General features: G+C 52.7%; 1 protein-coding gene across 7 annotated transcripts in view, besides 5 other annotated features; it reads left to right on the forward strand.

Moving 5' to 3' along the window:
- EPHB2 (EPH receptor B2) overlaps window positions 1-19512 on the forward strand; it is a 210663-nt gene that overhangs the window by 130623 nt on the left and 60528 nt on the right.
- Window positions 8434-8935: an enhancer, noted in NCBI's record as "H3K4me1 hESC enhancer chr1:23176387-23176888 (GRCh37/hg19 assembly coordinates)". NCBI's record gives its function as "activates a minimal SCP1, AML or CMV promoter by ChIP-STARR-seq in primed H9 embryonic stem cells {active_cell/tissue: H9 hESC(primed)}" and the evidence as "EXISTENCE:reporter gene assay evidence [ECO:0000049][PMID:30033119]".
- Window positions 8936-9435: an enhancer, noted in NCBI's record as "H3K4me1 hESC enhancer chr1:23176889-23177388 (GRCh37/hg19 assembly coordinates)". NCBI's record gives its function as "activates a minimal SCP1, AML or CMV promoter by ChIP-STARR-seq in primed H9 embryonic stem cells {active_cell/tissue: H9 hESC(primed)}" and the evidence as "EXISTENCE:reporter gene assay evidence [ECO:0000049][PMID:30033119]".
- Window positions 11818-12381: an enhancer, noted in NCBI's record as "H3K4me1 hESC enhancer chr1:23179771-23180334 (GRCh37/hg19 assembly coordinates)". NCBI's record gives its function as "activates a minimal SCP1, AML or CMV promoter by ChIP-STARR-seq in naive H9 embryonic stem cells {active_cell/tissue: H9 hESC(naive)}" and the evidence as "EXISTENCE:reporter gene assay evidence [ECO:0000049][PMID:30033119]".
- Window positions 12382-12943: an enhancer, noted in NCBI's record as "H3K4me1 hESC enhancer chr1:23180335-23180896 (GRCh37/hg19 assembly coordinates)". NCBI's record gives its function as "activates a minimal SCP1, AML or CMV promoter by ChIP-STARR-seq in naive H9 embryonic stem cells {active_cell/tissue: H9 hESC(naive)}" and the evidence as "EXISTENCE:reporter gene assay evidence [ECO:0000049][PMID:30033119]".
- Window positions 13433-13492: a silencer, noted in NCBI's record as "silent region_403". NCBI's record gives its function as "represses an Ori minimal core promoter by ATAC-STARR-seq in GM12878 lymphoblastoid cells {active_cell/tissue: GM12878}" and the evidence as "EXISTENCE:reporter gene assay evidence [ECO:0000049][PMID:35858748]".

The following is a 19512-nucleotide window of genomic DNA, read 5'->3' on the forward strand; positions in this document are numbered from 1 at the left end:
CTTGGCCCACTTCTGCCACCAACACCCCATATATCCCTGGACAGAGACTTCCCTCTCTGAGCCTCACTCCCCTCATCAGGACAGGGGAATAGAGATGGCATCTCCCTCGAGGCTGTGGGGGTGGAAGGCATGCACGTGGCCACATTTAGGAAACACAGAAGCAGAAGGTAGGATTGTTCTAGAAAGAGGCGATTGTCAGGCTGGTTTCGGGGGTGACTCAGTCTTGAAGGTGGGAGCAGGGGGAGGCCATGGCGAGATGTGAATGGCAGCCCCATGCCCTGTCGGCCCCATGGTCACTCCTGCTGTATATGTCACAGTGCCGGAAGTGTCCATCATTTGATGAACATCTGGGATGAAGGCCTGCTGTCTCCAGGAGGGATCCTGTTTTAATGCATGCGGGGTACAGACAGTGTAACATTTTGATTCCCTGGCAAAGACACATCCCTGGCCTCTCTCAGCATGAGCTGACATCAGAGAGAATGGGGCAGGGCTGGAGACAGAGGGCCGATGCCAGGAGCCGGGCAAGATCTGAGACTTCCAGCAGGGGTCCCATGGGGCCTCGGGACAGCTGGAGGAGCCACATGCCTGGGGTTGGGTGAGGGGCAACAGGAGAACCCTAAAAATGGAGCAAAGAGCTGTCGGGAGTAACTTTCTTCTCTTTCAACTTTTTGCCAAGGAGCAGCGTGGCTACAGACTCTGCATAGCCCAGAGAGGAGGCTCTGCCAGCCCCCCAGGCACCTGTCCCAGAAGTCTAATTACTAGCTCTCGATGGGCAGCCAGCTCACTGATTGCGAGTCCTTGCAGAGAGGCGGTGCTGAAATCATGAAATATTCCAAAGGAAATACGTTTATTCCTTTGCAGAAGGATAACACAGCATCTCACTCGTCACTACCTCGCATTCGCGTGGGGTGTTACCGAAGGCTGAAGAACTTACTTATGGGTCCCTGTTAGATCTGACCGCCCCTTTCCACCCCTCACTGTCACCACCCTGTCCATCCATAGTCATCCGTGCCTGAACCATGGTGCAGCCTCCTCCCTGGCCACCCTGTGCCCCCATAGCCCATTCCTCACTCAGCAGACAGAGGGAACTGTTCACATCACAAGCCACTTCCCAGCCCCACCAAAACCCTCCCATGGTTTGCCATCACACCTAGAGCCACCCTCAGCCTCCTTTCTGTGGCCATGGGGCCCACAGTTTTGGCTCCTTCCTCCTGCTCTGCCCTGTTTCCCACTCAGTTCCCCCATATTCACCTGCTTCAGCGGCCAGACCTCTGTACAGCCTGAAACTGAGCCCCAGGCTTATTCATTCCCTCTGAGGAAGAGCCTTTGTACATTCTGTTCCCTCTGCCTGGAATACCCTTCCCTGCACTCCCCCTCTAACTCCCCCTAACTGGCACCTTCTTGTCCTTCAGGTCTCAGCTCAGATGCCACATCCTCAGAGAAGCCTCCTCTGACCACCAGCCAAAGCAGCCCCCCAGCACTCTCTAGCACATCCCCCTGTATTTATCTAATACCTGTTTATTTTTCATTTTCCCCATTTGATGATAAATTCTCAAGTAGGAACCTAGCTGTTTTGCTTGTGGCTGAATCTGAGCAATTAGAACACATGGTAGGGTATCGTATCTGTTGAGTGAAGGATCCCTGCAAGGAGAAATAGGTAATACTAATGGCCACTTACTGAGCCCCTGCAAGTACATGGCACCATCCAACTGTAACCTCATTTTGTCCTCACAGTATAAAACCTTGCAAGGGAGTGTCCCCATTTTACACCTGAGGAAACTGAGGCTCTGGGGGTTCAAGCAACTTTCCCAAGACCATGCAGAAAGCAAGAAGCAGAGACCCAGGTCTGTCTAATTCTAAGTCCTTGCTCTTGCCACTGTGTTTTTTTTCTCCTAACTTTTATTTTAGGAGTACATGTGAAGATTTGTCATATAGATAAATTGCATGTCATGGGGATTTGGTGTACAGATTATTTCATCACCCCGGTGATAAGCATAGTACCCAATAGGTAGTTTTTCGATCCTCTCTCTCCTCCCACCCTCCACCCTCAAGTAGGCCCCAGTGTCTTTTGTTCCCTTCTTCTTTTTCTTTTTTTCTGGAGACTTAGTCTCACTCTGTTGCCCAAGCTGGAGTGCAGTGGTGCAATCTCAGCTCACTGCAACCTGTACCTCGCAGATTCAAGTGATTCTTCTGTCTCAGCCTCCCGAGTAGCTGGGATTACAGCCACCTGCCGCTATGCCTGGCTAATTTTTGTATTTTTAATAGAGACAGGGTTTTACCATGTTGGCCAGGCTGCTCTCGAACTCCTGACCTCAAGTGATCTGCCCACCTCAGTTTCCCAAAGTGCTGGGATTACAGGCGTGGGCCACCGTACCCAGCCTCTTGTTCCCTTCTTTGTGTCCATGTGTATTCAATGTTTAGCTTCCGCTTATAAGTGAGAACATGTGGTATTTGGTTTTGTGTTCCTATGTTAGTTCACTTAGGATAATGGCCTCCAGCTCCATCCACGCTGTTGCAAAGGCTTTTTTATGGCTGTGTAGTATTCCATGGTGTATATGTACCACCTTTTCTTTATTCATTCTACTGTTCATGGACATTTAGGTTGATCCCATGGCTTTGCTGTTGTGAATAATGCTGCAGTGAACATACATGTGCATGTGTCTCTGTGGTAGAACAATTTATATTCCTTTGAGCATCTACCTAATATTCGGATTGTTGGGTCAAATGGTACATCTGTTTTAAGCTCTTTGAGAAATTTCCACACTGCTTTCCACAATGGCTGAGCTAACGTACATTGCCACACTGTTATTAAAACAGGCTTATTGCCCTTGTTTAACACATAAGAAGACAGAGACTCAGAGAGGTATATGCTCATGTGCCCAAAAGCCTCAGCCAGGAAGAGCAGGGCTGGGATTGGAACCCAGAGTGCTGCTGCTGTCTCTGCAGGGGCAGGGGCTGGCAGGAGACCCAGGCAGCTGAGAGGCTGGCCCAGCCAGGCAGCTGTCTATAGTGAGAGGGGTCTTAGGGGTAGGCAGGAGCCTGTCCAGTTTGACAGCAGGGTCTAAGTGCTTCATGAGTATTAGCTGTCTTCTCAACAACCTTAGGAGGGAGAGTGTTATTATCCCCATTTTGCAGGTGGAAAAACTGAGGCACAGAAAAGTTATATTATTTACCCAAGGTCACTCAGCTAGGAAGTGGTGATGCCGGCTCCAGAGCACACACTGCTAACCACAGCACAGCACTGTTTCTCTGAGGAGACGAAGCTGGGCCAGGCACCGGATCCCCCAGGAAGCCCCCAAGAAGGAAGCCTATAGCCTGGGGCCAGCATCCTTGGGACCTTGACTGATCCCAGTCCTTTGGGGTCCTTGGTCAGATCAAGAGGGCATTAGGTCCTGCCTGCAGCTGAAGGCCTTTGGCAGCTCCATACCCTGCAAGGTACTCGGGCCCTGGAACCAGGCAGCAGGAGTAGACCCTGGCTCTGCCCACACCCGGATTTGTGTGCTCCTGGCCAGGCCACTTGAATGCTCAGAGCCTCAGTTTCCTCAGCTATAAAACAGGGCCAGGAGTTCATCAGGATGTTGCGATGAGAGCAGAGGAGGTGACGATGATGAGTTAGGCTCCATCCAGCGTGGAGTCCCACCTCCTGAGTGGTGAGCGAGCAGTGGCTGAAAGCACATGGTGTCCAGCTCAATTTAGATCCCTCCTCTACCACTCACTGCATCAGTGACATTGGACAAGCGACTTACCTCTCTGTGCCTGTATCCCTTGTAAGTGGGGATAATTATAGTATAATTTGAGATTACATGATTAATCCATATAACGCACTTAAAACAGCATCTGCCCCACGGTAAGCACTAAGTGTGAACCGTCATTTAATAGAAGATAAATGTTAAAACATTAGTTCTGGCCGCTTTTGGAACTAAAGAGACCCTTCTAAGCAGAGTTCCCATGAGGTCAGAGAAAATAAGCTAGGAAGTTGTGGTCTCAAGCCCTCACTTGGTGACAGTGTGGGCTATCTTTGCAGGCTGCCCTTCACCACAAGTTGCCTCCCGACTCCTCATCTCCAGTTTTCTCGAGGATTAGTCCTTGTCTGTGGGTGCTAGAGCTAAGTGCTTGTCAAGTTTATGAACTTTCAGAGCCATTTTTAGAAACAACCAGGACTCCTCATTTTTATAAGGGCTGAGATAAGAATGGTCTGTAAGATTAGAGGTTTGTCATTTTCCTCTGCTTTGATTCTCTCTCTCTCTTTACACACACACACCCACACACACACGTACACAGACAGCACAGCAGCCCCAGGCCCTATAAACACATTGTTCAAATAAAGGAGACATTTAGGGGAAGTCTGAAGCACCATTTAAAGGTGATTGCTCTAAATGGCCATGTCTAGGCAATTTGTCATAAAGTCTCCCGGCTGTTGGCCAGAGATCACTTTTGCTGCAAATCTTGCTGTTGTCTTGTAATTTTCAACTTTTGACCCTTTAAAACTGAGAAGGTGTGGGATCTTGGTGAGTTTTGGGGATGGGAGTATTTTAAAGTAACTTGTTAAGAAGCCATTTGGCCCTGGGAAAGTTTGGGATCAGTTAGACCCTAAGGATCCCTGCAGAGGAGCCCAGGATGCCCAGGTACCTGCTCTGCTGCAAAGGACTTAATGATTCAAGAATGTCCCAGGGCGTGGCCAGGTGCGGTGGTTCACACCTGTAATCCTAGCAATTTGGGAGCCTGTGGCAGGCGGATCTCTTGGGTCAGGAGTTCGAGACCAGCCTGGCCAACATGGTGAAACGCCATCTCGACTAAAAATATAAAATAGTCGGGCATAGTGACGTGCGCCTGTAATCCCAGCTACTAGGGAGGCTGAGGCAGGAGAATCACTTGAACCCGGGAGGTGGAGGTTGCAGTGAGCCGAGATTGTGCCACTGCACTCCAGCCTGGGCCACAGAGTGAGAGTGAGACTCTGTCTCAAAAAAAAAAAAAAAGAAAAGAAAGTCCTAGGTCAGGGACCGGGCAGACTTCTTCCTGATTTCTCCAGAGGTTCACAGACCGCCCTGCCAAAGACAGAACTGCCCGATCTGCAGGCCTTGGGCATGGAGAGGTTGGCACGCACCTGTTGCTGGGTAGGCGGCTTGTTGCCTCTCCAGCCTCGTGTCCTGCATCTCTGCAACCATAGACTCTGGGTTCCAGCTGCCTCAAACGAGCAGCAGGTCCTCAGCCTTGCCATGCAGTTTCCCATCTCCACCCCTCCGCCCACGCTGCTCCCTCAGCCTCGCATGCTTCTCCTTTCTTGCTTTTGTCTTGTCATTCTTAGTCTTCCAACGCAGCTCAAGTGTTTGCACCTCCAGGAAACCACAGTGGTAGAGACCCCTCCTCTGGGCTTCCAGACCCAGCGCCTCTTCCCCACAGGCTTCCCCAGACATTGTTTGGAAACTGCTTACTGACCGGGGCATCTTCCCCACCAGGCTGGGAGCCCCTTGAGCTGTGGATCCCTAAGCCCAGCCCAGGCACCAGCCTTGAGGAGGTGAGGCCATGTGATAGAGTAGTTAAGACCCTGCCTTTGGCCTCAGATGTAATGCTCCCACACTCCCCTCCCAGTTCCAACACTAGCTGGAGTGGGTTACTCAGCCCCGCAGAACCTCCATCACCTCTTCTAGATGTGGGAATATCAATAGTACTCATGGGGTTGCTGTAGGAATTGATGATGCAAGCACACACTCTATGCTTATTAACTCCAAGTCTTCACTGCAGGTAAGTCCTATTCATTAATCGATTTTTCAGATGAGGAAACGGAGATGCAAAGACAGTTTGAGGAGCTTGCCCAAGGTCAGTGGCAGACTCAGAGTTCAAGGCCAGAAGGACCCTGTTGCAGAGCCTGTGCCCCTAACCACTGGGAAGCACAGCCCCCTGATAACTTATATGAAGCCTGGAACACAGCAGCTGCTCAATAAATGGTGGCTGCTGTTGTTAATAGGTGCTCAGTTCGTTTTTAATGGTAAAGAGGTGGGGCTGGACACAACAGGGGAGGAAGGGCTCAAGACCTAGGGAAGGGAGAGAACTGGAGGAAACAAAAAGGAAACAGGAAAGCTTTGAAACGGGGGAGAGGGCCATCTGAGGCCAGGGCAGGTGGGCTGGAGTGTGAGGGGCCCAGGGCCCAGGCAGGCTGCTGGAGGAAAGGGCTGAGGGCACCAGGGCTATGTGGCCATTTGGGCACTGGAATAGGATCTCCCCTGGCTTCCCTGCTCTTGGAAAATAAAACCCCAAACTCCATCACCAAGCACACAAAACCCTTTGTGACATAATCCCAGATCAACTGTCTCACCTCGTGTCTGAACCCTTCCCCCCATACACCCTGTGCTCCAGTCCCTCCATGCCTCCAGCACATGCTGTTCTGCCTGTCTGAAATGTCCTTGGTCTCTTCTGACCCTGACAGACTCCTACTCATCCTTTAATACCCTATTCAAGTGGCTCCTGTTCTGGAGAGCCTTCCTGGGTACCCCTAGCTAATCATACTCTCTCTCCCCTGCTAGACGGTGAGCCTCAAGGCCAGGGACTATGTCTTATTCAACTCTGTGCCTAGTGCCTGACACAGAGCTGGGCACAAAGTGATCATTGAGAAACAGCTTGTTGAGTTTTTATGGAGTAAGTCTATCCTCAAATCAAGGGCAGGCCCTCATGGAACCACACACACGATCTCAAATCCTCAGTGTCCAGGAGGGCTTAGATTTGGAGGTAGGAGCCAAGTGAGATTAAGAAGAGAACTCATACTTCTTAGGGATCCAGACTAGGGAATTTTCCAGGACAAGTAGGCCTCCAGAACTCTGCTGTGTGCCCGTGACTGCTGCTGAGAGAATTCATACCTGGGACCTCACCCCGATCCACTCCAGCACCACTCAGAGATAGTGGAAAACAAGCTGGAGGCCTGAGATGGCCTGTCCACTATCGCTCGGTGGACCTCCTTAAAATGTGGAGCCCAAAACTAGCCCTGCCTGAGCTACCAGGAGGATGCTGGCTGTCACTCTACTTCTACTCTTACAGCCTACAATCACATTGGCTTTTTCAGCAGCTTTTGGCTTGTGGTCAACTCAAACCCCCAGGTCTTTTTCACTGGGGTGGCTGCCAAGCCACATCTTGTGCATTTGATTTATGGCTTGGGTTAGCTGAGGCCTTCTCCTGCTCCCCAGAAGTCAACAGGAGGAAGGTGACGGGTTCTGTACCCCTAGGAGGGAGAGTGATTCCAGGCCTCCCAATCAAGATCCTTGTTGTTTGTATTTCCTAATCCCTTCTCCCAGAGATGCCAAATGCTGGGACCTCGAGTGGGATTTTCATTAGCATTCAAGTCACAGGCCACTGGGGCACAAGCAGAGCAACCTTCCAGGTTTCCGGGGGATACAGTGGTTCTGGAAGACACTTAGACAAGGCAGGGAGAGAGAGGCAGGTGGTGGAGGCTCAATCTTCTGAGCTTGGTGTCCATGTGCGCTGGGGATGGCACTTCATTGCTTGGAGCCTCCGTTTCTCATCTGTACAATGGGGGTGACAAATCTCCAACATCATAGCACTGTTAGAACAAAGGTGCCCAAGCAGGACGTCCCTCCCAGAGCTTAGTACTTCTTTCTGTCTGGGATCACGGGCAGCTGGGGTTAAGAGCAAATGGGTATTAAGTCTCTGTTAATACCCCACTCCCACTGCTGCTGCACTGATGAGGATCTGTGGTGCTGAGATTTTCCCACCTTTGCAAATATTGTTACTGCTGAGCTGAATGCTCTTCTCCTCAGGTGTTGCCTCTTCAAGGTCACTTTTGCAGAAAGGCCTTTTCTGCCCACAGTCCCTAAAGTGATCCCTCTGAGGACCGATCTCAGCCCTTGTCCGTCTCCTTCGTGACCCATCGCGAGGTGTGTGTGTCATTTCCATCTGTCTATTGCTTCTTTCCCTCCTTCTCTCACCCACTAGACTATCAGCTCCCTGAGGTCAGGGCCTGTGTCTCCTCAGTCCTCACTGGTCCCCAGCCCCAGCACATAACCAGAACCGAGCAGTCTATGTGGAACAACCGTTGCAGATTTCAGAATGTTCTCTCAGACTTTGGCAACAAATTCTAACTGTGGGATCCAGCGGACCAGGGGATCCATATAGAACCAAAGACAGAAGCATGTTTAGTCCTCTCTGCCCTGAGCAAGGCCTCAGTTTCCCTAGCTGTAAAATGAAATGATAAAGAGACTAACTTTTTCTCTAAAGTCCTTCGAGCCCTAAAAGACTCTAAGTCGGCACAGGAAGTGGGAGAAAATTGTATTGAATGGTATTGCCTCTTGGATTGAAAAAAAACAACTTCTGCTAGGAATCTCTCTTGCTCTGTCACTTTCTCCACTGGCCTGGAAAAAAAACTGCCCTGCACAGGCCCAGGCCTGCAGAACCCACACTGAAAAAGTTCACAGGTGCCCTCCTGCCCTGGGCCCGGGTAAAGGGGCCCTGAAAGGTGTGTGGCAGCTGCATCCCCGGGGGGTCCGGGGGTTTGTTGCCTTAACCGAGCTCACCAAGCAGGTAAAAAATTCCAGACATGTTCTCTGCTGACAGCTAATTGTGTCCTTTATTAATGACCATGGCTTTCTTGGGGCAGGTGGGAGGAGGGAGGAGGCCAGTCTCAGCCCGGAGGGGCTCCCTCAGGTGCAGCTGATGACCACATTTCTGGATCCCATAGAAGGGGAAGTGCTACATGAGGTGACCCTGAAAAAGCACCCTCCCTTCTGGAGGGGGAGGGGGCTTTCCCAGGCTCCCCAAATCCCAGCAGGGGTGGCCAGTACCAGACACCGACAGAATGATGTAGGGATTTAGGAATCTGAGGGCCAGGGTTCTGGGCCCTAAGTTCTTCTCTGAGAACACAGCCAACAAGGTACAGTGGATGGCCTGAACAGGGGACCCGCACGTGGGGCGGTTTGGGAGATGCTCCCCAGCTCCGCCAGGTCCATCTCACCCTCACGGTACCAGGACTGGGCCTGCCAGGCCTTACCTCGGTGGCCCACTACACCACCTGTCAATACAGCAGCCAGATGTGCGGGAGGGGCCTGGGCCTGGCCCTGCCAGATGTGTCAAGCTTTGCAAACACATCCGACTTCCCCTCGGGCACATCGTGATTATTGTTTAACACTCGCTATTCCTGCATCTGTGAGTCCCAGGGATTACAGGCTGGGAGGCTGCAGCCTGATGAGCCCACTGGCAGTGATAGTCTCCAGCTGGGGAGAAGGGGATACTCGATCGGTCCCCATTTTCTCAGGAGGGTGAGGGATGTGGCATGAACCCCAAATATAGATGAGGAGATGAGGCCCGGAGAGAGGCTCAGGGAAGAACTGATGGAACCAGGACTTGAACCAGGCAGGAGAAACGGCGCATGCACAGGCCCTGAGGCTAGCAGAAGGCTGGTGTTCTCAGGGCAGCCAAGAGGTCAGTGTGGCTCAGCTGGAGTGGGCAAGAGGCCAGGCGGGTGGAGGGGAGTTCAGAGAGGAAAAAGGAAGCTTTGTAGGCTATTGTTTTGTGGGTTTTTGTTTCTTTTTGGAAATTCATCTTTGTTTAGATACAGGGTCTTGCTCTGTTGCCCAGATTGGAGTGCAGTGGTGGGCTCTCAGCTCACTGCAACCTGAACCTCCCAGGCTCAAGAGATCCTCCCACCTCAGCCTCCCAAGTAACTGGGACCACAGGCTTGTGCCACCACGCCCAGCTCATTTTTTAAAATTTTTTTGTAGAGTCAAGGTCTCACTATGTTGCTCAGACTGGTCTCAAACTCCTCAGCTCAAGCGATCCTCCCGCCTTGGCCTCCCAAAGTGCTGGGATTACAGGTGTGAGCCACCGTGCCCAGGCTATTGGTTTTTACTCCAAGTGAGATGGAAACTGTTGGAGGCCTTTGGGCGACATGAGCTGATGGCTGTTCTGCAGGATCCTGGCTGCTGTGGAAGGCTGAATGCAGCTGGAGGAGGGCAAGGACATGGGAGAGCAAGGGAGAAAGCCAGGAAGCCAGTTAGGCTTTTGCCGTGATGTGAGGATGCTCCCACTCCTCTGCCCCTTCTCTTCCCTCCAATGTGGGCATCAGCATAGCTGGGCTGCAACCCCAGCTCTGCTGGCCACTCATTTATTGTGTGACCTTAGGCAAGTCCCTGTCCCTGTCTGGGTCTTGTATTTTGTAGTCATAAAATAAGGAACTTAGCCCAGAAGATCGTGAAGATTCTGCTGACTTCCAATGTCTGAGACCCTGCCTTACTCTCCAGCCTCATCTCCTTCCTCTCCTGGCCTTGAACCTCACGTGCTAGCAACCCTGAACTATTTGTAGCTCTCTGCACGCACACCATGCTGTTTCACGCCTCTGTGCCTTTGCACACTCCCTCTCCCTGCAACACCCTGTCCCAGCAGCAGCCCTGCACACAGATGGCCTGTGTTCTTCAGCAGGTCTCCAGCTTGGGGGCATCTCCTCCAGAGGTTGACCCACTCCCCTTTCTCAGTGCCCTGAGCACTTTTACAGACCACACACTGATTTTCAGAAGACAATAGAATGAAGAGGCTGTGGAGTCAGAGCTGGCCTCAAATTCCAGCTACCTATCTGGAGTTGTTCATGTTTTTGAGCCTCCATGTCCTCGTCTGTGAAACAGAGATCATCATATTCTTCCTCCCAGAGTCAAGGTGAAGATGCAGCAACATTGTTAAGCACCTACCCCAGTGCCTAGCACGTGGTAGCCAGGATTTTTGAAGTCAGATTCTAGCTACAGAGAAAGAGCCATTGAATGAATGGGAGAGGGTTACCCTGTATAGTGTGGCCCCAGATTCCCAGAAGAGTTCCAGCTCGGACCCCAGGACAACCTCCCAGCAGCCCATTTTGGGGAGGGGGTTCCTGCCCACCCCTCCTGTCACCAGCTCCTCCTGATATCAGGGCTTGGTCAACGCTGCCTGCCGGCAGCCACACAACACTTGGAAATGTCCTTCCTTAATTGCTTCACCAGAGTGGGGAGCCACCCTGCAGGCAGATAATTAAAAAGTTCAGAGCTTGATTAATTGGGAGGAAATTGGAGGAATGGGGCTGCCTGCTGGGAGGGCGGGAGCTCTCAGCCCCCACTGTGGGGAAGCTGGGATATCATGAAGGGAGGCCAGACCTGGGGCTGGGGGCAATGCGGGGGTCCAGGGGCTGGGAGAGCCAGGCCATGAAACACCCTCACCAGCTCACCAGCCTTTACAGACTGTGGGGTTCAGTGTCTGGCTCCCCTGGGAGACTGTGAGCTCCCCCTACAACTGGGGAACACACAGCAGTCATGAAAGTCCCGGTTGCTCCGGCCTTGGGGCCAGGGGACCTTGCAGCCTGTCACTCAGAGAGCCGTTATGGAGCATCTGCTCTGTGCCAGCTCTGTACCAGGCAGTCAGCAGGGCAGGTGCAGTGGCTGCCCTCATGGAGCTCACAGCTGGTAGGAGGAGGGGAGATGGGAGGTGGAGAGACAGATGTTAATCAAATGCCAGGGACAAAGGTAGGATGCCTTGAGAGCCTGTCACCAGGGGCTCCAGGAGGAGCTCAGAGGATTCCAGAGGCCTCGAGCAAAATCTCCAGTCCACACACAAGTTGAATGAGCTTAAGCACAAGATTCCGCCTTTCGGCCGGGCACGGTGGCTCATGCCTGTAATCCCAGCACTTTGGGAGGCCAAGGCGGGCAGATCACGAGGTCAGGAGATCGAAACCATCCTGGCTAACACAGTGAAATCCCGTCTCTACTAAAAATATGATAAAAAATTAGCCGGGTGTGGTGGCGGACGCCTGTAGTCCCAGCTACTCAGGAGGCTGAGCCAGGAGAATGGCGTGAACTTGGGAGGCGGAGCTTGCAGTGAGCCAAGATCGCGCCGCTGCACTCCAGCCTGGGCGACAAACAATTCCTGAAGCCTCTATCGATCACCTCTCAGCCAGACACTGGGGCTGGTGCCAGACCTCGGGGTTACCCACCATCACTGTCACTGTGCTCACAGCCTCCTAGGAGAGGCAGACAGTCACCATCCTGTATACTCATGCAGTGGCAGAGGTACAGTGCCAGGCACTCCTGGAGCACAGAAGAGCACCCCCAGACCCAGCCCTGGCAGGGGACATCCTAGAAAAGGACCAACAGTTGATTCGGGCTGGAGTGAGATTTGAAGAAGGACAAGAAGGAGCTGGGTGGGAGCTGGGACAGCATATGAGGCAGAGGGAACTGCCTGAGCAAAGGCCCAGAGGCGAGACCAAGCACAGCTTGTTCCAGGAACTGGCAGTGCCTGCGGTGGCTGGAGCTCAAGGTGTGACTGGGAGCATGAGGGAGCTGAAGCTGGCCAGGTGGACCGTGGAAGGGGAGGCTGAAGCAGGCCGGACTCTCCCTGGGCATGAGGGAGCCACCGAAGGGTCCTGAGCAGAGGAGTGACTCAACAGATGGCAGGGGTGGGGGCCTGGCTGGCGAGGCCTGGGTGCCCCCTTGGGCAAAGGGGAGGCATGCTCATGCAGCTACCCACCTCAGCCTTGTCCTGTCAGCTGCTGGCTGGGTTCCACAAAGCCGGGTCCCAGCAGGGGCAGACAGGAGGAACCTGGGCATTGGGGCAGGATGACTGACAGCCCCTGGGTGGTCCCAGTGGGAGCTACCGGCCCTGAGGCACTTGCTGGACTTAAGCTGTCTTGTCTAGGAAGGGGGAAGATGGAGGAAGGGAAGGAGTAAACGGGCAAGAAGGGAAACCCTTCATCAAGTGGGAAGGAGCTCCAGGGACCTTAAGGATGGGGGTTTTAGAAAGAACATGGACTAAGGCTGGGCATAGTGGCTCACACCTGTAATCCCAGCACTTAGGGAGGTCAGGGTAGGAGGATCACTTGAGCCCAAGAGTTCAAGACCAGCCTGGACGACATAATGAAACCCCATCTCTACAAAATATACCAAAAATTAGCCAGGCATGGTGGTGTGCACCTGTAGCCCCAGCTACTTGGAAGGCTGAAGTGGGAGGATCACATGAGCCCAGGAAGTCGAGGCTGCAGTGAGCCGTGATTGCACCACTGCACTGCAGCCTGGGTGATAGAGTGAGAACCTGTCTCAAAAGAAAGAAAAAAAATTAAGAACATGGACTGTGGAGGCACATGTTCTGACCCTAAGTCTCTATGTGATTTGGACAGAGTGCTTCCTTTCTGTGAGCCTCAGTTTCCTCATCTCTAAAATGGGAATAACACCTCCCATTGCACAGGGTGGTCCAAGGAGGCCATGGACCAGGGAGGCTCCTGGCCCAGCACTGGGCACATCCTAGGCACACAGTGCTTAGAAGCACCTCCTCTCCATCTCAGGAGGTAGCTGCCTACTTTCAGTGCAGCTTTGCCCACAGTACGGAGGAGGACCAGGCATCATGCCCAGCCCAGCCCAGCCCAGAGGGACTGACTCTGCTGGGTTAACCTTACAGCAAAAGCAGGAAGCAGGCAAAATATAAAAGCCACTTTGCATGAGGCAGACCCCAAAACCCCACCCACTCAACCCAGCAAGCCCAGCCCTGCCCTACACATGGCACAAACCCCTGAAAATATGCAAATCAGTCTTTCCACAGTTCAAAGAGAATGTAAGAGCCCAGCACTGGGTGTCTGAGCCACCCACAGCTGGAGTCCCAAGCTGGAAGAAGCCCTAGAGGGGGTGCCAGGCAGCGCCTTCCTTGGATTGTGGATTGAATGATTGGATTGAATTGTGTGTATCAATCCGTTCAAATCCAGTAGAGCTGAGGCCCAGAGTGGGCAGGAAGTAGCCTGGGTTCACAGAGCAAATGGCAGTGAAGCCGCCAGCCCCCCTACTCTGGGACCAAGACTCTTTTCTCCATCCAGTCAAACTCCTCTCCCCAACTGAAACCCAGAACTGACTTCCTAGAGATTCCAAGGCAGGAAAGCGAGCTGGCTGCACTTCAAACCTGCCACTGCTGACCCCAGAACCCGCTCCCTGGCCCCTCTGCCCACAGCAGCCAGCAGGTAAGCCTGGTTCAAGGAAGGCATCTCAGCCCCCTGCTTAGTCATGGTCTCTTATGTTCCAGGGCTGAGGCTTTTTGTTTCAAAGTCCCAGTACCTGGCACCTACTGGGGACTCAGTAAATGCCTGTAGAATAAATTTACAACTCACTGTCTCCCTAACTAGACCTGAACTTCTGAAGACAAGGACTATGTCTTCTTTATCTCAGTATTATCTCCAGTGCTTAGCACATAGCAAATGGAGGCCAAGAATAAATGAATATAATAATAGCCAACACTTACATAGCACTTAACATGAGCCAGACAGACACTGTTATGGGTGCTTTACTTTCATTAACTTGTTTAATCTTCCCAACAAATATAATCAATATTATTATTCCCATTGTACAGACAAGAAACTTAGGCACAGAGAGGTTAGGTAACTTGCTCATGGTCACACAGTTAATGAGAGGCAGGACTGGAATTAAGCCCTGGCCGTAGCTCCACAGTCCATGCCCAGGTTCAATTTCATCAGACCTCCTGCTCAGGTCTGGGGAGTAGGAACTCAACCCCAGGGTGCAGACCTTTTCAGATGCCACCTCTACCCAGAGCCACAGACAGCGCCCTCTGGTCTACAGAACCCCAAGGAAGACAGAGATGCTCCTTCCAAGCCTCGGCAGCCTGACACACTGGGCCTGACCCAGCGATTGACTCTGAGGTGGCATCAGTTGTCTTTGGGATTAAGCCAGAGTCCCTGGGAGGAGAGGGGGGAGCAGAGGCAGCAGGCCAGCCATTGAGGTTTTGAGGATCACCTGATGCCAATTAACAGCCCCACCGTGCCAGGCCCAGATGGAGTCCTGCCTCGGCCTGACTCAGGGCTCACTTGGTCAATTATCACCTATCCCCAGAGCCCAGGGGCAGGCGGGGAGAAAATCTGTTTCCCTGTAATCCTCCCTCCTTTCTTCGGCTTGCTGCCATCCTGCCCTGGGTTGCCTGGCCAAGGGCTCTGGGCGATTGCAGAAGGCCGGCGCTGGCTGGCTGCTTCGAGCCCTGAGACCTGAGTTTGAGGACCAGGCGTTACTTCTGCCCTTCTGAGAGGCTCCAGCAAATCCCGTCCCCTCGGCAGGCCTGACAAGATGGTGTCCAGCTGTGACACTCACCACTCACTAATTTCTGGGACCAGTAGTATTTGGACACAAGCTGTTCTGGATCACGAAGATCTGAGGTCAACCCCAGCTGTGCCACTGACTTGCTATGTGACCTTAGGGCGGTCACTTCACTCTCCCTGAGCCTCAGTTTCCTTATCTGTAAAATGGGAATGATAATGGTACCTAGTTGGGTGGGTGCTTTGTGGAATAAGTGAAAGAATCCATGTAAGACACAGCACTGGGCCTGCCACCTGGAAAGTACCTAATGGAATTATTTTTGTCATTCCATGCTGGATGAGTAATAATAGCCATTTACATGGCACTTACCTTGTGTTCTAAGTGCTTTGTGTATATCAATCCATTCAAATCCACAGCCCCTCCCCTCAAGTCACTCACTGTCCAACCAGGGAGATAGACCTGCCTTCATTCAGCAAAACTAAATTGGCTGAACACCTACCATGTGCCAAGTCCTGGGATAGGTGCTGGGGATGCAGAAGTGAAAGACTCAGCCCCTACCCCAACCAAGGTTCACCAACCAGTGGGCAGAACAAAATCACGTGCCATGTAAGTCCAGTGGTGGTCTGGAGCTTGACTTGCAAGAGCCGACTGTGCACATTCTTTCCCAAGTCAGGGTTTAATGATCTCAAGTTGGTACCTTGGCATTTGCTCTGGTGGGAGTATTTACACCACACAAATTGGCAAACACAACCAATCAGGGCTTCTTTTCCCCTCAACTGCCAGTTTAATAGCACACCACTGCATATGGAGCATGTCTTGGGTGCTACAGCGGAGATGTGAGCTGGCGCTGTAGGAGAATGGAGGGCAGGCCGCCTAAAAGTGGGCACACACATCAGACTCACCAATCCAAGGGGCCAGGGAGATGAAGGAGAAGGGCATTCGGGCAAAGGGACCAGCATATGTGGCCCGATGTCCAGGGAGCTGCAAGCAGATGAGAGAGGTGACAGATGGGGCTGGAGAGCTTACAGTAGGATGGTCAATCCTCCCAGTTTGCCCAAGACTAAGGGAGTTTCTGGGATACAGGACTTGCAGTTTGAAAACCGAGATGCTTTGGTCAGTACCCTGTTCAACAGGTCCCTGGGAAGACCATGGGGAGAACAAATGGGAGGCAGAGAGGAATGTGAGCCTGATGATGGGCTGGCAAGATCGGGATGACTCTGGTGGTACCCAGACAGGCACAGACTCAGCTAAATATTTTCTCACCCACCTTCTTATCTGATTGTGATGGTACCTTGTAAGAGGCACATTGATTCAATCAACCTGTACACATCAAGTGCCTACGACCGGCCCGCGGCTCTGCTAGGGGCTGGAGAAACAATGAAAGCCAGACAGACCCGGCTCCTCCTCCCCTTTCCAGGTACTTTCAGTGCATGAAAAAACACAACACACAAGTTTACAAACCGTTTTCTAATATAATTACAAATTGTGATGAGGGTCAGTAAAGGAAACTGAGACTGAGACAGAACACAGCAAGAGACAATTGCTTTAGCCAGGGTGGTCAGGGTGGGCCTCTCGGAGGAGGTGGCATTTAAGCTGGGGTCTGAAGGAGGAAAAGGAGCCAGCGACGGGAAGAGCAGGGAAAGCCTTCCGGGCAGAGGGAACAGCTTGGCCAAAGGCCTGGAGGTGAGAGCGCATTCGATGACCACAGGCAGGAGCGCAGTGAGTGAGAGGAGGAGGGGGAAGCGTCCAGGAGACCATCAGGACCAACCTCACAGGCCTTGTAGCCAGGCTAGGCATGTGGGTCTATTCTAAGTGCAGTGGGGATAAATGGTGCACGAGGGAGTTTAGACAAGATGCCGCAGGTCTGATTCATTTTAAACAGATCACTCCAGGGACTGTGGAAGATTGGCAGAGAGGCCACAGTGGAGCAGAGACCCATTCGATGGCTCTCTCTGTCATTATTCCATGCAGGGATCATCAGCCCCCTTTCCAGATGAGGAGACTGAGTTTCAAAGGGGAGGAGGCCTTCCCAAGCCCACACGCCCGTCAGAGGTACAACTGCCTTCCTGTGTTTCAGGTCTCATTGTCTTCTTCCCACTTCTGCACGTGACATGCAGGTGCCAGCAGGACAGGTTCCCTTCCCACCCAGAAGTTGGGAGTGGTGTGGCCCCCCGGGCACTGTGGGCAGTGGCCACCCAGACCTCTCAGAGGTAGCTGATGGGAGCTGAGGCCCCAGTGCACCCCACAGTCACACAGTAGACTTGGGATCAGAATTGGCCTCTGCTACTGAAGAGCTATGTCTGTCTGTTCCTCTCTGGGCCTCAGTTTCCTCAAATGTCAACTAAGGGGGTGGGGCTCGATCCCCTTCCAGCCCCTCATTCATCCACCCATCACCCACTAGAAACCCAGCATTATACTGGGAGTTTACAGTCCAGCCAGGTAGACACATTCATAAGCAAGTAATTAAAATAGGCACTGTATACAAAAAAATTAGCCCGGCGTGGTGGTGCATGCCTGTAATCCCAGCTACTTGGGAGGCGGAGGCAGGAGAATCACTTGAACCTGGGAGGCAGAGGTTGCAATGAGCCAAGATCATGCCACTGCACTCCAGCCTGGTCAACACAGCGAGACTCCGTCTCAATAAATAAATAAAATAGACCCTGCCAGGGGGCTCAGGGAAGACTTCCTAGAAGAGATGATGTCTTAAAGGGGTCTAGGAGTTTGCCTGATGGTGAAGGGAAGGCATTCTAAGCAATGAGGGCAGATGGACAAAAGCCAGGGGTGTGGGGTGGGCCTGGTGGGGGGGGGGGTATTGTACCTAGGTGAGTGTGAGAGAGCACCAGACACTGAGGTAGGAGTGGTGGGCAAGTACCAGCCCCCTGGGGCCCAGGGGCCCTGCAGAGTTTGGGCTTCCCATGTCTGCTTGGGGAGCTGATGTGGACATTTTAAGATAGTGGCTTCATTGAGATAAAATTCACATACCAGACAATTTGCCTATTTAAATTGTACAAATAAGGCTGGGCTCAGTGGCTCATGTCTGTAATCCCAGCACTTTGGGAGCCAAGGCGGGTGGATCACTTGAGGTCAGGAGTTCGTGACCAGCCTGGCCAACATGGTGAAACCCCGTGTCTACTAAAAATACAAATTAGCCAGGCATGGTGGCACGCGCCTGTAGTCCCAGCTACTCGGGAGGCTGAGGCAGGAGAATCGCTTGAACCCGGGAGATGGAGGCTGCAGTGAGCCGAGATTGTGCCACTGCACTCCAGCCTGGGTGACAGAGCGAGACTCCATCTCAAAAAAGAAAAACAAATTATACAAATCAGTGGTTTCTAGTGTATTCACAGAATTGTGCAACCATCACCACAATCAATTTTAGAACATACTCATCACCCCAAAAAGAAGCCCTGTTCCCCATTAGCACCTCCTCCCCCTGCTCCCCTATCCCCAGCCATTGGCAACCACGCATCGACTTTCTGTCTCTTTCGATGTGCCTGTGCTGGGCCTGTTTCATATAAATGGAATCCTGCTTTCATGGCTGGCTTCTTTCACTGAGCACGATGTGTCCAGGGTTCACCTGTACCGTAGCATGTGTCAATGCTTCGTTCCTTTTTATGGCCGAATAGTATTCCAACGTATGTGCCATTGTGGATTTTTAAGACTTGGAAAGGTCTGCACTCCAGAGAGCTAGTTTGGAGAGTGGGTGGGTGGGAGGAGGCCAGATGGCGTGAGAGGCTGAGGAGTGGGTGGAAAGAGCTTTCTAGATGCTGGCAGCGGGGGGAGCGGCCAAGACCAGACCAGAGACTGCTGAGGAGGGAAGACCTAGTAATTGATTGGCTGTGGGGGGACAGGGTGGAGAGTGATGCCACTTCCCAGGGCAGAGAAGAGTGAGTTTCATGAAGCAGTGCCATAGATACAGAAATGATACAGTGCCCGGTGGTGGGGGTCGAACCTGGCCAGGCAACAGAGCAAATGAAGGGCGGCTTAGGGCAGGGGCAGCCTGGGGAGTCTGAGAGGGAGCCAGGACACTGCAAGGGGGAGAGGGCAGCCAGAAAGGCAGTCCAGATGGAGAGGCTGGCACCGCACAGAGGGGAGAGAGAGCAGCCACCCACTGGCGGCCCCCCCGGGAATGCCCCGCAGATGGAGGAGGGATGCTGAGCTGGGCAGGCTGTCTCCAGAGAGGGAGCAGGAGGAGCCTGATCTTGGGGCCAAAACCCTTTGGCATCTCTAAGGATGGTTCTAGACCTTCCTGGAAGCCTTGTGCCCCCATTCTGCAGAGGAGGAAACCCGTTCAGAGAGGCCGACTGCTCGACCAGAGCTGGGGCTGCAGCCTGCATGTCCTGACTGCCCAGAAGCTCTGGGCAGTGCCAAGATGGTGAGGCTGCCCCTTCATCCAGCCATCAGGGAAAGGTCGGTGCCCAAGAGGAAGGCGAGAGGGAGGGCAGGACGACTCAGGGGACCCAGACCCAGTGCAGTA

The sequence above is a fragment of the Homo sapiens genome, chromosome 1 (assembly GCF_000001405.40).
Source record: "Homo sapiens chromosome 1, GRCh38.p14 Primary Assembly".
Classification (NCBI taxonomy): Eukaryota; Metazoa; Chordata; class Mammalia; order Primates; family Hominidae; genus Homo; species Homo sapiens.